Raw genomic sequence first — 16,754 nt, forward strand, 5'->3', positions numbered from 1 at the left:
TGTAACCAGGGTACTATTTGTTTTGCGTTGTCTGCACTGTGTCTGGGGAAGTACGCCTTTTCGTGTGTGTGCTAGCACCTGCTGGGATGCACAGTCACAGCTGTAGAGCTGGAAGGCCCTGAGAAACCACAGAGCCCTTCATTCTGTTCTTTTTTGCATAGCAGTGCCTCTTTTTATAGAGGATGTATTAGGCTGTTCTCGCACTGCTATAAAGAAATACCTGAGACTGTGTGATATGGTTTGGGTCTGTGTCCCTGCCCAAATCTCATGTCAAATTGTAACCCCCAGTGTTGGAAGTGGGGCCTGGTGGGAGGTGATTAGATCCTGGGGGCAGATTTCCCCTTTGGTGTTCTTGTGGTAGTAAATTATTGTGAGATCTGGTTGTTTAAAAGTGTATGGCACCTCCCTGCCTCTCTCTTCCTTCTGCTCGGGCCATGTAAGAAGTACCTGCTTCCCCTTTGCCTTCTGCCATGATTCTAAGTTTCCTGAGGCCTCTCCGGCCATGCTTCCTGTACAGCCGTGGAACTGTGAGTGAATTAAACTGTTTTTTTGTTTGTTTGTTTTTTTTTTTTTTTTTTTACAAATTAGCCAGTCTCAGGTATTTCTTTATAGCATTGTGAGAAACCACCCCCATACTCTAATCACCTCTCACCAGGTTCCACCTCCAACATTGGGGATTGCATTTCAGTATGAGATTTGGGCAGGGATACTATATAGATATCCAAGCTATATCAGAAGACATGCTGCCTGAGCTCAAGCAATCCTCCTGCCTCAGCCTCCTGAGTAGGTGGGGCTACAGGCATGAACACCATGCCTGGCTAACTTTTTTTTGTTTTTTGTAGAGGTAGGATCTCAAATTCCTGGCCTCAAGTGATCCCCCTGCCTTGGCCTCCCAAAGTTCTGGGATTAGAGGTGTGAACCACCATGCCTGGCTTAAAGCAATTTTCTGATGACTGATTATGCTTTCCAGATATCTTACTCTTGAGAAAGGTGGTACCCCACATTTGAAACACAAGCATTTTGGCTCACTAGAAGGATATATCCTCCATTGTAAATAAAAAGTCGGCCTCTTTATGCATGAGGCAAGCGTTGTTTCTGTTTAGATTGGTCTGGATCTAGTCATCTTTAGTTGTTCATCTCCAGGTGAACTGAGAAAAATCCAGTGTTCTGATTTGAGAAGCCAAGAAGACCTTGGCTGATGGTAAATTTTTAGCAGGGAATCTGGTAGTGACCAGTTTGCTTAGCAGAGCTGATGGCATTCACATCACCATGTATAGAACTTGGACCAGTGAAGGCACAGCCAGCTGGGATTTGCTGTTACACATAGCAGCTTAGGGAGCCAGATTCTAGTGATCACTTATGTGTATTCTTTCATTCCTGAAATGAACTCCACTTGGTCATTGTGCTGAAAAGAGTTATCATAGCCAGCCAGACCCTGCTATTTCTAGAATGTTCTGTTTGCAAGGTTGGACCTTGGCTGGTGTCTGAAAACTTGGCATTTGAATCATTCCCTAACTGATAAGGCTGATTGGGCTGATTGACAATGTGGTTTATCCAGTACACCAGCTTTCCTTCTGAGGAAGGTAATTCCTCTGAGAGTCTGGAATTTTGGTAGTTGCCAGGCAGAAGAGGCCCATGTGGCCAGCCACCAACAAAAAAACCTTGGGTGCTGAGTCTCTAACAGGCTTCCTGGCAGAAACATTATTGCATTGATTGTTGCTAGAGAAAGGAACTTGCTTGCAGTGTTCCTTACAGAAGGGAGAGAATATAGGAAGACTGTGCATGGATTTCTCCATTCCACCCATGTCTTTTTCCTCTGGTGATTCTGTTGTGTCCTGATATGGTTTGGCTGTGTCCCCACCCAAATTTTATCTTGAATTGTAACTCCCACAATTCCTGTGTGTCATGGGAGGAACCCAGTGGGAGGTGATTGAATTATGGGGGCAGGTCTTTCCTGCACTGTTCTCATGATAGTGAATGAGTCTCATGAAATCTGATGGTTTTAAAAACAGGAGTTTCCCTGAACAAGCTCTCTTTGCCTGCTGCCATCCATGTAAGACGTGACTTATTCCTCCTTGCCTTCCGCCATGATTGTGAGGCCTCCCCAGCCATTCAGAACTGTAAGTTCATTAAACTTCTTTTTCTTCCCAGTCTCAGGTGTGTCGTTATCAGCAGCATGAAAACAGACTAATACATGTCATTTCCCTGTAATGATCCTTAACTGTGAGGACGATTATATATTGAAACCTGAGTCATTCTAGAAAATCATTGAATATGTGGTGGTCGTGGGGACCTCCAAAAAAGTCGTGATGTATTATTTTTAATGTGCTACTGGATTGTGTTTGCTAATATTTTATTTTCTTTATCAATATTCTTAACTTCAATTCCCCTTTATCAAACTTTTACTGAAAGCTTTTCCAACATTCACATTGTTCTAGATATCTTGACATATAGCAACTTCTGTACTCTTTTGAGGAATTCATGACAACCTCTTTTACAGGTGAGAATACTGTTGCCCACAGAGGTGGAGTGACTCACACAAAGTTCTATAGCTACTGACTGTATAGCAGAGAGGGGAGCCAGGGCTGTCTGCCTCCCAGTTAGGGTGACCATTCTGGTTTGCCCTGGATTGAGGGGTTTTCTCCAGGCTGAGGGGTTTCCTGGGACATGGGACTTTGAGTACTAAAACAGAGATAGTCCTGGACAAATCAGGACTGTTGGTCACCCTACTTAAGTCTACAGCTTTTAAAAAAAATACTTTATCCAAGTGGATGCTTCTATTTTCATGAAAGAAAGCTTGTCCCCATTAGGATTTGGGCATATTTAGACACAAATTGGAAGTGCCAGACACCTGGTCTTTCAAGGAGAACAATTTCCAAATTCCTTTTCTGAGTGCCATACATTCTGCATCTCCCAACCTAGTTTGCTTTGTGCTTGGCTCTTTGCTCTTCTCCACCAAGCCCCCCCTCCCCCCGCTCTGCCCACCACATTTTTCAACATTACTGGTTTTAATTTCCTTTACCATCCCCGTTGCAAAAACTTCTTTCCTGATTTAATTACTATTTCTCTTAATTCAATTTTATGCTCTTGATTGTCGTTAAACTCCTAAAGTTGTTTCTCCAAAGAATTTAATGGCTAGGCCTTGTGCTTAGAGATTAATTGTTGTCATTTTGCTTTCAAGCACAGGTACTTTCTTACTTCTCTTCAGTTATCTTTGGGAGAAAGGAAAGTGACCATCCTTCTTCCCAGGGCTGCTCTGAGAACAAACACTGCCGGGGGCTGCCTTTTGAGAGAGAGAGAAAGCCAGACCTCTTAAATTTGTCTTCCACCTTCTACTGACTCTAATCTCAGCATCTGTGAATAGCCAGAGAACCTCTGGCTCCTCAGGTGGGCTCAGGCCATGAACGGATTGTAGGGAGGGCTCTAAAAACAGCAGCCCAGGCTTGAGATAGGGTGGCTTTCTGCCAGGAGGGATTTGCACAGTGAAGAGGGGGAACAAGGGCTGGCTCTAGCCTCAAACATCCTGCCTGGCCAAGGTCCCCCAGAGGAACTAAGCCTGTGACTCAAAGGAAAAAGGAATACTTTTGGTTAGAATTTCCCTTCCCTGGAATGTCCCTCTTGGGGATAAACCTACTCCTGAGCATCTTTCTCACGTTCACTGTACAGTAGCTAAAAGGCTTTGACCTTTGAGTCTTCTCCCTGCAGCCCACAAACTCTTGATTTTCCCACCTCTGTCACCCCTGGATCTCCTGTTTTCCTGTGCAGATCCTTGACAAACAGTGGCCAGAGGTAGAGGAATGATTTCAGGCTGGAGCTCTGGCAAGCTCCCTTTACAATCCAGTTGTGTAACTCTGCCCCTGTGTGGGTGAAGCAACCCTGAAAGGTAGAAAGCACAGGCTCTGGGGCGGGCCTTAGACCCTGCCTGGCACTTAATGAGCCATGTGATCTCGTGGCTCAGCTGCCTCTGAACCTCAGTTCCCTGGTCTGTGGATAATCAGATATAGAACCGTATAGAAGGGATGCGGGGCTGACTTTTATTTCATGTGAGGGTTAAATGAAAGAATTGAAGTAAAGTATTCAGCACAGTTTCCTGGCACATAAGCCTTAAATAACAAATATTATCAACATTGAGTAGCATTTGGTCCTACATCAGTCATAGAATCTTCAACTTTTAGGACTGAAAAGGAAACCGAAGTCCTGTAGGCCAACCTTCCCTCCCCACTCCCAATTTGATTATGAAATCCTCTATTCAGCCTTTGACTTTGCTAGCAGACCTTTTGTGATGGGGCAGCTCACAGCTCTTGGGGAATCCCTGCCTTCTTTGGGCCATTCTGTAAATGTCAAGGAAGAGCTCTGTGTACATGTGTGATGTATTTAAACTGCTTTCCAGTTGCAGGGAACAGGAAGCCTTTCCCTATTCCCTATTCAGGTACAATAATGTAGGCTGCTAGGGAACAAGATCGAACAATTGGAGAAGGCTTTTGTGGCTAACTCAGTGACGTACTTGCAGGTGAGGGTTCCAGACTCCAGAGTCTCCCTTTACCTAGTTCTTGGGAGTCTAGTGCAGCTGAAGACGAGGTACTGCGGATGAAGAGGAAGACGAGGTACTGCGGATGAAGAGAAACCCAGATGATCCAGGCACATTTTATAGACAAGGCCTCAACGACCCCAAAGGAACCTTTGAAATCACCCTTTTCCTGGGTTCACGACGACTTGTAAACGATACCATCCATCCCTGCTTATTCATAGTTATTAAATACCAGAATAAAGAGATTAGAGCTCATGAGGTGCTTCGTCCCCATCACTCGGGCTGCTTGGCTGCATTTATGATGAGAAGGCTCTGGGTGTTTAATAAAGTATCTGATATGTCTAATAAAATCCTCCCATGGCCCTGCTGATGTTACTATAATAGCTTCATGTCACATGCTCTTGTGCTATTGAGCCAGTACCAGAACATATTTTAAATTCTTATTATGTCTATTTAATTTTTATTTAAAGGAAATTTTCAAGGTTTAAAGCAGGTACCGAGGTACCTAGGTGTGAAGACCTAGAAATGTGCTGTAATATTTATCAAAATAGTAATGGAGTGATTTAAGGATAGTATAGGAATAAGCAACTGTGCATTCGTGGCTTATCTAGTTATAGATCTGTACTGTTCCCCTAAGAACTGCAATTTGTGAAATAATGGCTTCTCATTGTTATGCCACATCTATTTATAAAAAGCTGAGTTTATTCTCAGTGCTCAGTAGTTTTTTTTTGTTTTTTTTTTTTGAGACAGAGTCTCCCTCTGTTGACCAGACTGGAGCACAGTGGTGCGATCTCGGTTCACTGCAATCTCCGCCTCCCCGGTTCAAGCAATTCTTATGTCTCAGCTTCCTGAATAGCTAGGATTATAGGCGTGAGCCACTACGCCAGGCCTCAGTACTTAAAAGATTTTATCTTACTTTAATGATATATTTTATATAAGCTTCTGGAAGGTTAGAGCAGGATTGGACCTTAGAACTTAATTTGACCAATTCCTTCCTGACAGTAATGACAAAATTGAGGCCCAGAGAGGGGAAGGAATTTGCCCAAGGTCATACACGTAATAAAGGCAGAACTGGGATTCAAGCCTAGATTTTTACACTTCATGCTCTTGCTACCATAATAAGAAGCCCTTAAAATACCTATACGTACCTGGCTTTCATATACACACCTCCATGAGAGGGAGGCAACGTGTACACGTAAACATGCTTGTGACAAGGGAATTGGCAGTGATAGCTGTTGTCACTGGCCGCCAGGACCCACATGGCCTATCTGGTTGCTTAGGTGGCTGTTCTCTTTCCTCTCTCCCTCTTCCTCTTGAGTCCAGGTGTAACTAAGGCATTATAAAAAACAGACAAACCTTGACATCGGAAGAGCTGACTTTCTTTTTTTTTATTTTTATTTATTTATTTTTTTATTATATTTTAAGTTCTAGGGTACATGTGCACAATGTGCAGGTTTGTTACATATGTATACATGTGCCATGTTGGTGTGCTGCACCCATTAACTCGTCATTTACCTTAGGTATATCTCCTAATGCTATCTCTCCCCCCTCCCTTCACCCCATGACAGGCCCCGGTGTGTGATGTTCCCCTTTCTGTGTCCAAGTGTTCTCATTGTTCAATTCCCACTTATGAGTGAGAACATGCGGTGTTTGGTTTTTTGTCCTTGTGATAGTTTGCTGAGAATGATGGTTTCCAGCTTCATCCAAGTCCCTACAAAGGACATGAACTCATCCTTTTTTATGGCTGCATAGTATTCCATGGTGTATATGTGCCACATTTTCTTAATCCAGTCTATCATTGATGGACATTTGGATTGGTTCCAAGTCTTTGCTATTGTGAATAGTGCTGCAGTAAACATACGTGTGCATGTGTCTTTATAGCAGCATGATTTATAATCCTTTGGGTATATACCCAGTAATGGGATGGCCGGGCCAAATGGTATTTCTAGTTCTAGATCCTTGAGGAATTGCCACACTGTCTTCCACAATGGTTGAACTAGTTTACAGTCCCACCAACAGTGTAAAAGTGTTCCTATTTCTCCACATCCTCTCCAGCACCTGTTGTTTCCTGACTTTTTAATGATCGCCATTCTAACTGGTGTGAGATGGTATCTCATTGTGGTTTTGATTTGCATTTCTCCGATGGCCAGTGATGATGAGCATTTTTTCATGTGTCCGTTGGCTGCATAAATATCTTCTTTTGAGAAGTGTCTGTTCATATCCTTCGCCCACTTTTTGACGGGTTTTTTTCTTGTAAATTTGTTTGTGTTCTTTGTAGATTCTGGATATTAGCCCTTTGTCAGATGAGTAGATTGCAAAAATTTTCTCCCATTCTGTAGGTTGCCTGTTCACTCTGATGATAGTTTCTTTTGCTGTGCAGAAGCTGGAAGAGCTGACTTTCAATCCAGCTGTCCCTTCACCTTTCTGGTCCTCATTATAAAATGAGCTGACTTCCTCTTATCCCAATGCTAACTTCAGCACCTGTCCTGTGGGATGCAAATGGCATTGGTTCAAAAGCCACCCCAGTGTAGTGAGACAAGCTTCTCTAGACTTTCTGGGTAGGAAGGAGGGTCGGAGGGGGGGTATAGATGTTAATGTTTCCTTGTCCTCTCTACCTGTGAGATCCTGTTTATTTTGAATTAATTTCATGGATGGATCAATTTGCTTTCTCACATGTGCTGTTCTGGTCTCACACCACATTGTTGAGGAAATGCAACCCCTTTTCCTTGATTTCCCCTCATAAGCACACAAGGCATCTACACACATGTAGCTGCCATTATAGAAGACTTGAGGAAAGAGAAGTTTGCATCACTGTGTTGCTTGTTGCTTCTTCTTTTTAGAGAACCTTTCTGCAGGGTTCATCCCAGAAATTCCCCATTCTTCACTTCAAAACACAGAATCACTAAGCTCATCAATTCTCTATCATTTAGAAACTATATTTTGGCCCAACAGAGACCTGTATAATATGCCTTAAATGAGGTCTAAGGTTTTTCTCTCAGGTAAAAGAAGTCTTGAAGTAGGCATTTGGCTTGTCCATTTTGGGCTGCTATGATAGAATACCACAGACTGGTAATGTATAAACAATGGAAGTGTATTCCTCATAGTTCTGGAGGTGTTGAAGTCCAATATCAAGGCACTAGGAGGTTCGGTTTCATTGTCTGGTAAGACTGCATCCACTATAAGGGCAGGATGCTGCATGCTCATATGGCAGAAGAGGTGAAGAGCAAGCTAGCCAAATCCTGCTGTGTGAAGGCTTTTTAAAAATGACCTTAATTCCACTAACAAAGAAGAAGCCCTCATAACCTGACCACCTCTAAAAAGCCACACTAAATATATTACATTGGCAACGCCTGAATTTGAGGTGAGGGGACACATCCAAACCACAGAAGCATTCCAGGGCTGATGTGGTAATGCTACCATCTCATTAATGTCCTTATCTCCTCTTGTGTTTCTGTTTTGGTGTACTTAGCACAAGCTCACTGTCCTCAATCAAGGCCACCTCATACCTGCAGAGTGGCTGCCGCAGCACCAGTTATTACATCCATATTTCGGGTAGAGGAAGAAGGAAGGTCAACAAGAGACCTGCCAACAGAGTCAGCCACTTTTTTAGGGAGCATTTCCAATCCTACACAATAGTTTCTTCATTCCATTAGCCTGAAGGTAGTCACATGACCGCTCTTATCTAGAAGGGAGGATAAGAAATCTAATTTTTTAGTGGGGACACATTTCTGCTCACCAAAAAGTCAGGGCCCTAAAGAATATATTTTGGATAGGCCAACAGCAGTGTTTGCCGCAACCCTCAATTCAGCTCTGGATGTATCTTTGCATAGCCAGGGATGCATTTTTTAATTAAAACTAAGAGGCCATGCCATTGCTGAAGGGTGGGGAACTGGAGCAGAAGAAATGTCTCTGTCCTTCATCTGCTGTCTTCACTAACAGTCTCTGAAAGTGGAAGGGGCAGTAAAGAAATTTACTTTCCCACTGTTGTGAAATTTACCACCCTCCTTATAAGGCAGAAGTGGTTACAGTTGCTTTTTATTTTCCTGTTACTATACCCAAGGATTGTTGTGAGAATCAGAAGACAGATATGAGAAATCATGTTGTGAACTATAAAATGCTATTAAATGACAGAAATGATTGTTTGTCATTATTATGAGTGTTGTCATGTCTCCCAAAGCTGCCTGCTCAGTTGAAGAAAAGTGTTTTCTGATAGAGAGTAAGACTGAGAACCAAAGAGAAAAGGAGAGAGGGAGATAGAGAGAGGAGGGGGAAGAAGAGCGATAGAGAAAGAAAAAGAGAAAGAGAGAAAGACAGAGAAAGGAAATAGACTGATAAGGAAGGGTGGGAGGAGAGAGAGGGACAGAGAGAAAGGAAATAGAGTGAGGAGAAGGGGAGAAGGAGAGAGAAGGGGAAGGGAGACTGGGAAGAAGGAAGGGAGGGAGAGAGAGAGGGACAGAGAGAAGAGGGGAAAAGAAAGAGGGGAGAGAGGAGAAAAGACAGAAGGGAAGAGCGTGGAGGTCTTTTTTCTATCAAAAGCAGAACAGAAATACATTGACATAATTGAAACCCATGACTGACCACAAGCATACATACAACTCTGGTAGACAGCTTCAAGGTACTTAGGTTTCTCTGACCATTTAAAAGTATCTTCCTCATTTCCAAAGCGGTATATGCATACTGAAGACTATGAGAAACATATGAAAAGGCACAGGGGAGTTTTTTTTTAACTGCTTTGTTGATGTATAGCTGACATAGAATAAACTGCACATATTTAAAGAGTATAACTTGATACATTTTAATGAAAGTATACACTGCAAAACCATCATTATAATCAACGTATCTATCATCCCCAACAGTTTCCCTGGGCTCCTTTGAAAGCCCTGCCCCCGGGCACCCACTGGTCTGCTTTCTCCCACTCTAGGTTAGGTTGCATTTTCTGGAAATTTATACAAATGGAATATCAAATTCCATATATAATGTATGTAATCTTTTTTTTGGCCTGGCTTTTTTCATATAGCAGTATAATAATTAATGATATAGACCCAGCAGAGTTTGAGATATTCAATTAATTCATTAATTGAATTAATTCAGATATTCAGGTATTGAGATTAGTTAATATTGTCATATTTGCTTCAGCTTTCCTCGTTTTTTTGAGTAATGTGATCTATACGAAGAGAAAATGTTTTTAAAAAATACATCTTAATGCATTGTAATTACACAAATTACATTATAATTAAGGAAACCCCTGTGTAACCACCACTCAGGCCAGGAAAGGGAGCTTTGCAAGCACCCCTAACCTCCCAGTGTCCCCTCCCCAGGTCATCACCAGCCTCCCTTTTGTGAGAATCATTTTCTTGCTTTTCTTTTTGATTTTACGATGTATGTATGCATCGCAGTATGATAGAGTGGACTTAGCTGTTTGTGAATTTTATATGAATGAAATCACACTGTATGTCTTCTTCGTGACTTGCATTTTTTGCTTTGTTTGTGAGATTCACCCCTGTTGTACCATGTAGCTATGTTTTATTCATTTTAATAGCTATAGAGTATTCCGTTGTATAAATATACTGCAGTGTGGCATAGCCCACTCTGGAGAGAGAGCTTTTAAATGTGATCAATACAGTTTGGCTTTTCGTTAACACTTGTAGCCATCAGACAGTCCTTACAGGATAGAAACAACGAAAACATCTACCCTTCCCCTGGATGCCAGTACCCCCGCCCCACCCTACTGTGTGTCCACAAAAAGTTAATACTATAAATATTTACAGATGTCAATCATAAGTATTTATAGGAATATCTTCTGCCCTGGTATAGTCTTCTTTTTGAAGAAGCAAGCACACAGTTGATTTTTTTCAAAAATCAAAAACTTTTTTTTGTTTTTTCGAGACGTAGTCTCGCTCTGTCGCCCAGGCTTGAGTGCCGTGTCGTGATCTCCGCTCACTGCAAGCTCCGCCTCCCGGGTTCACGCCATTCCCCTGCCTCAGCCTCCTAAGTAGCTGGGACTACAGGCGCCCGTCACTACGCCCGGCTAATTTTTAAAATATTTTTAGTAGAGACGGGGTTTCACCATGTAAGCCAGGATGGGAACTTTTTTTTTTTTTTTTGCATCATGTCGGTCTGAACACAGCTAGTTAAATTTTCTGTGGGAAACAGGAAAAAGAGGAAGAGGTTGGACATTCCCTTTCAAGAGGCTGCTCTTCCACTTCCACTGTTTTTCTCAGGCCCTCAATCCAGAGGTTCCTAGACGCCATTATTCACATTCTTCTTTAAAAGATGCTCTCACAGCATAAGAAGTCAAAACCTAGCTCTCAACCCCATCAAAAAGTGGGCAAAGGACATGAACAGACACTTCTCAAAAGAAGACATTTGTGCAGCCAAAAAACACATGAAAAAATGCTCACCATCACTGGCCATCAGAGAAATGCAAATCAAAACCACAATGAGACACCATCTCACACCAGTTAGAATGGCAATCATTAAAAAGTCAGGAAACAACAGGTGCTGGAGAGGATGTGGAGAAATAGGAACACTTTTACACTGTTGGTGGGACTGTAAACTAGTTCAACCTTTGTGGAAGTCAGTGTGGCGATTCCTCAGGGATCTAGAACTAGAAATACCATTTGACCCAGCCATCCCATTACTGGGTATATACCCAAAGGACTATAAATCATGCTGCTATAAAGACACATGCACACGTATGTTTATTGCGTCACTATTCACAATAGCAAAGACTTGGAACCAACCCAAATGTCCAACAATGATAGACTGGATTAAGAAAATGTGGCACATATACACCATGGAATACTATGCAGCCATAAAAAATGATGAGTTCATGTCCTTTGTAGGGACATGGATGAAATTGGAAATCATCATTCTCAGTAAACTATCGCAAGAACAAAAAACCAAACACCGCATATTCTCACTCATAGGTGGGAATTGACCAATGAGAACACATGGACACAGGAAGGGGAACATCACACTCTGGGGACTGTTGTGGGGTGGGGGGAGGAGGGAGGGATAGCATTAGGTGATATACCTAATGTAAATGACAAGTTAATGGGTGCAGCACACCAGCATGGCACATGTATACATATGTAACTAACCTGCACATTGTGCATATGTACCCTAAAACTTAAAGTATAATAATAAAAAAAAGTTTATTTCTAAAAAAAAATAAAAAATAAAAAAAACCTAGCTCTATGTTTCTTCATATAGAAGAAGCATTATAATAAAAGTAATTTAAGTCAGTGCTTGCTGTCTGACTTTTATTTTTCAAAAGGGTTCAGTGTATTATTCAAATGTCAAGAATAATGATTTTGACCTTGGCCTGCGGGCAGGTGGACCACACTGTCTCTCCCCAGCCCTTTCTTCAGAATCTCTGTTAATTCTATAACACCTTCCGTGTCTGCTGTCATTGTGGTTTACAGGCACCTTGTCACATGGTGAATAATTGGATCGCCATTCAGTGAAGTAGAGAAATAATTTTAATCCCAGTTGTACAGATGAGATAATCGGAGCATAAAGAATGTGGGCTTTTCAAGGTCACACATCAAGAAAGTCACGAAGCCCGTTTCCATTTCTCGGTCTAGGTAAATATGAAGCCCACATTTCCATGTTCCTTCCTCTCCCTGAAGGGGAGGTCCAGCCATTGATTTTTTGTTTACATTGGGGTACACTGGTACTACTCTTTGGGTATTTGGGGGCAAGTGAAAACACCATTAAGAGAGAAGAGCCTTTTGAATCTCAGAGGAGTCAATAAGAAAATGGGCTTTTCAGGAGGTGGGAAGAAGAGGCAGAGTTGGGAAAGTAGGCTCTTTTTCTGTGAGCAGGGATATATATTTGTTCCTCAATCAGCATGCACACCGGGTCCCATCACTCTCTGCCTTCCATGCTTTCACAGCTCTTTTCCTTGATATTCCAATTCTGTGGTATTTGTTTTTTTCATTCTTTTGATATTCAGTAGTCATCATTCTATTACAAAGGAGAACTTTCTCTCTCTTCCACCTATTTATGTTTTCATTTATTAATTTATGTGACTAGAGTCTCATGGAACCTGATTTATTCCATGGGTTTTGATGATCACTTGGAAACCCCTTTATGCTGGCTCCTGTGACTTTCTGGCATGTTCCCATGATTCTTTGAGCATATTCTTACTTTGGGCTACAAAAACGAGTGCTGAGCTCATTGTGTACTTTCACTGCCTCAGCCTCAAATTCATAGTATTTTAGAAAAGGTAGTTGAAGGTTTGAAGGCTTGAGCCATAGTAGAAGTCAAAGAGGAACATAATTTCTCCTAAAGATATAACTCTTCTTGGCCTTCAAATGAAGGGATTAAGAGGACAATGCCCATCTTGATTATATGTGCCTGCAGTTCAGCCCAAGGATAAACAAATCTGTTTGTCTTAAATTTCTTATGACAGTTTTATAGAAGATAATTTTAAACTGAGCTTCAGATGATACCAGATGGGAAATGGAAGATCACGTTCATAGGATGGGGTCATGCATGGAATGAACTGACTTCATTTCTAATAGTGACCCCTGCCCATGGAAAGGGTCTATGGAATGGACTGCCTTCATTTCTAAGAGTGAGCCCTGCCCACAGAAGGGGTCTATGGAATGGACTGCCTTCATTTCTAAGAGTGACCCCTGCCCACGGAAGGGGTCTATGGAATGGACTGCCTTCATTTCTAAGAGTGACCCCTGCCCACGGAAGGGGTCTATGGAATGGACTGCCTTCATTTCTAAGAGTGACCTCTGCCCATGAAAAGGGTCTGTGGAATGGACTGCCTTCATTTCTAAGAGTGACCCCTGCCCATGAAAAGGGTCTGTGGAATGGACTGTCTTCATTTCTAACAGTGACCCCTGCCCATAGAAAGGGGTCCATGGAATGAGCTGCCTTCATTTCTAACAGTGACCCCTGCCCATGGAAAGGGGTCTATGGAATGGAATGCCTTCATTTCTAACAGTGACCCCTGCCCATAGAAAGGGGTCCATGGAATGAGCTGCCTTCATTTCTAACAGTGACCCCTGTCCATGGAAAGGGGTCTATGGAATGGGCTGCCTTCATTTCTAACAGTGACCCCTGCCCATGGAAAGGGGTCCATGGAATGAGCTGCCTTCATTTCTAACAGTGACCCCTGTCCATGGAAAGGGGTCTATGGAATGGACTGCCTTCATTTCTAACAGTGTCCACTGCCCCAAGAGAAACTTATCCTTCCAAGGAACCTGCAGAGTAGGGTAGCTCTCAGTGGGGTGGCAGAGCAGGAAGCCACAGTGATCTCAAGAATTCAGGGTCTAGAGGCTTGTGTCACCCTAGTGTGGGCAGGATGACCTCAGTGTTTTCCTGTACTCACAGGAGCAGCCAGAACCTACTCAAAGACCTGACAGTTTTCATCATGGCTCCTTTTCTTTTCTATTAAAAGTGGTTTTAATTAGGAAAGATTTCAAGCTTACAGAAAATTAAGAAGAATAATGTCATATGGACAAATATACCCACCACCAGATTGAAGAAATGTTAACAGTTGCCTTAGATCCTTTTGGAAAGAAAGTAAAACTACAGATAAAGGTGAAGCCGAAATGCATCTCCATTCCCCTCTCTGTCTTTCCAGAAGTAATTCTCAAGTTAGAAAGCAACTTCTCTGTCCCAATTATTTCTGTGTTTTTACAAGAGTAAACAAAAATATATGGTATTGTATTGTGTCTTAAAGAAATTTCATAAGCAGCATTATACTGCTCGTATCCTTTTTCAATTTTCTTTTTTTCTACCTAACCCTGAGATTTAACTACATTACTATTAACCATATTAATAATACAGATAGAGTTCATTCATTTTTTCTGCTATATACTATTTTATTGTATAATATTACTACAATGATATGATATGATATTACTCTTACTAGTTCTAAATGCTGTATATATTCTCTTGGATTTTCTTTGAAGATAACATTGTTTAGAAATAATGAGTTTTGTTTTTCACTTTCTATCCCTAAACTTCTTATTTCTATTTCTAGTATAATGTTGAATAGGAGTTGAATTCAGGGTTATTTTCTTATTCTTGATTTTTAAAGAGATCATAAAGTTTGCATTTTTAAATATGATACGTGTGGTAGGTTTTTTGGTAGCTATCTTCTTATCAGGTTAAGAAGGTTACCTGCTATTACCAGTTTGCCAAATATGTTGCAAAAACTATTTACCAATATCCATTCATGACTGACTTCATTAAGTTTCTTTTTCTGCATCTATTGATTGACTATGTAATTTTCTCCCTTTAATTTCTTAGTTACATCAATAGATTCCTAGTGTTAAAGCATCCCATTTTTTATGGAAAAGAAAAGACAGAGGATTATCCTGTCTCTTTTCCTTAATCATGGTGTATTTCTTTCTATACACTGCTTAACTATGTCCATTTTCTGGCTGTTTTTTTTTTTCTATGTATCTATTTTTAAATTCTTATGTTTGTGTATGTTTTTGAGGTGGGGGTTTGTATATTTTCCCCTCATATCATCCTTGGCTGGTTGTGTTATCTACACTATATTAGCTTTACAAAACAAGTTAAAGAATTTCATTTTTATTTCTTGCATGGAAGAATTTATATATAACTAGAATTATCTGTTTTATTAAAGTTTAGAGGATCCACCTGTAAAAACCATCTGGGGCCTATAATTTCTCTGTGAGAAAAATTTAAAACTATTAATTCAAGTTCTTCTTCAGGTATAACACTAATAGGGTCTTCTATTTCTTCTCAAATTAGTATTGGCAAATGTGTTAGTCTAAATTAGGGGTCGATAAACTATGGTCTGTGAACCAAATGGCAGCCACTGTCTGTTTTTGTAAGTAAAGTTTTATTGGAACCGAGCCATGTTCATTCATGCTCATATGGTGTAGGACTGCTTTCCTGCTACAGTGCCAGAGTTGAGAGTTGAGCAGTTGTGGCAGAGGCAGTATGATCTGAAAAACTTAAGACATTTACTATCTGATCCTTTATAAAAAAAAGTTTGTCGGCTGGGCATGGTGGCTCACGCCTGTCATCCCAGCACTTTGGGAGGCTGAGGTGGGCAGATCACGAGGTCAGGAGTTCAAGACCAGCCTGACCAACATGGTGGAACCCAGTCGCTGCTAAAAATACAAAAATTAGCATGGGCATGGTTGCGGGCGCCTGTAATCTCAACTACTTGGGAGGCTGAGGCAGGAGAATCACTTGAACCCGGGAGGCAGAAGTTGCAGTGAGCCGAGATCATACCACTGTACTCCAGCCTGGGCAACAGAGCAAGACTCCATCCCCCCCGCCAAAAAAAAAGTTTGTCAATCCCAAACCTGGATTATAGATATTGGCTGTAATGAAGACAACCCCCAGGGCAGTTCTTTAATGCAATGGGTGATGATGGCAGGGCTGCATTATCTTGTGGCTAGCCTGCCCACCTAGGACATGAGTGATTTTGCTTTCATGGTGGTGAAACTACAACATCAAGTTAAAAACATTCTCAGTGATGCAGTGAATCGTTTGGCAAATTGACATTTCTGGCAAATTGACTTTTGACAATCTAATTTTCAACAAATTCTTCTTTGAGGATACATATTTTTGTACTTGGCTCGCTTCCTTTGGAAAAACCAAGTGATGCTTTGAGTAGAATAGCACACCAGTTTTAGCTAAAAGGCAGCTAATTTTACTCAAAGATGTGTGTTTTTTTGGTAGATTTTTTTTTTTTTTTACCCTGAGGTTAGGTGGGGAAGGATTTGTCTTCATTTTCCTCCTTCCATCCACAGTTTGCAAAGCCCCTTGGAGTGCTCCCTCTACTCCTAAGAGGAAGAAAATATGGACCCCGGAAAGCAGGCAGAAGGGTTAATAACCAAGGGAGCTGGAAAGAGGGAGAGAGAGAAGGGAGCCCACAGAGGAGATACTCACTTAAGGTTGCCAAAGTGAGATGAAATAGACCACTATTAAGAGTCAAGGCGACGGAGAGTGGAGGGTGGGAGGAGGATGAGGATCAGAAAACTATGCTTATTACCTGGGTGATGAAATAATTTGTGCACAAAACCCCGTGGCACGCAATTTACCTATATACCAAACTTGCACATATACCCCGAACCTAAAATAACAATTTTAAAAAAGAGAATGCTTTGCCTGTTGTATTAGTCTGTTCTTGTACTGCTATAAAGAAATACCTGCCTGGCGTGGTGGCTCATGCCTGTAATCACAGCACTTTGGGAGGCCAAGGCAGGCAGATCAC

General features: G+C 41.6%; 1 long non-coding RNA gene across 1 annotated transcript; it reads left to right on the forward strand.

Moving 5' to 3' along the window:
• Positions 1–1,976: 1,976 nt before the first annotated feature.
• On the forward strand, positions 1,977–4,783 carry LOC124902230 (uncharacterized). The gene is made up of 2 exons (XR_007061690.1): positions 1,977–2,120; positions 4,511–4,783. It is a non-coding gene; the product is annotated as an uncharacterized LOC124902230 (long non-coding RNA).
• Positions 4,784–16,754: the final 11,971 nt, after the last annotated feature.

This window comes from Homo sapiens, chromosome 9 (assembly GCF_000001405.40).
Source record: "Homo sapiens chromosome 9, GRCh38.p14 Primary Assembly".
In the NCBI taxonomy this organism is placed as follows: domain Eukaryota; kingdom Metazoa; phylum Chordata; class Mammalia; order Primates; family Hominidae; genus Homo; species Homo sapiens.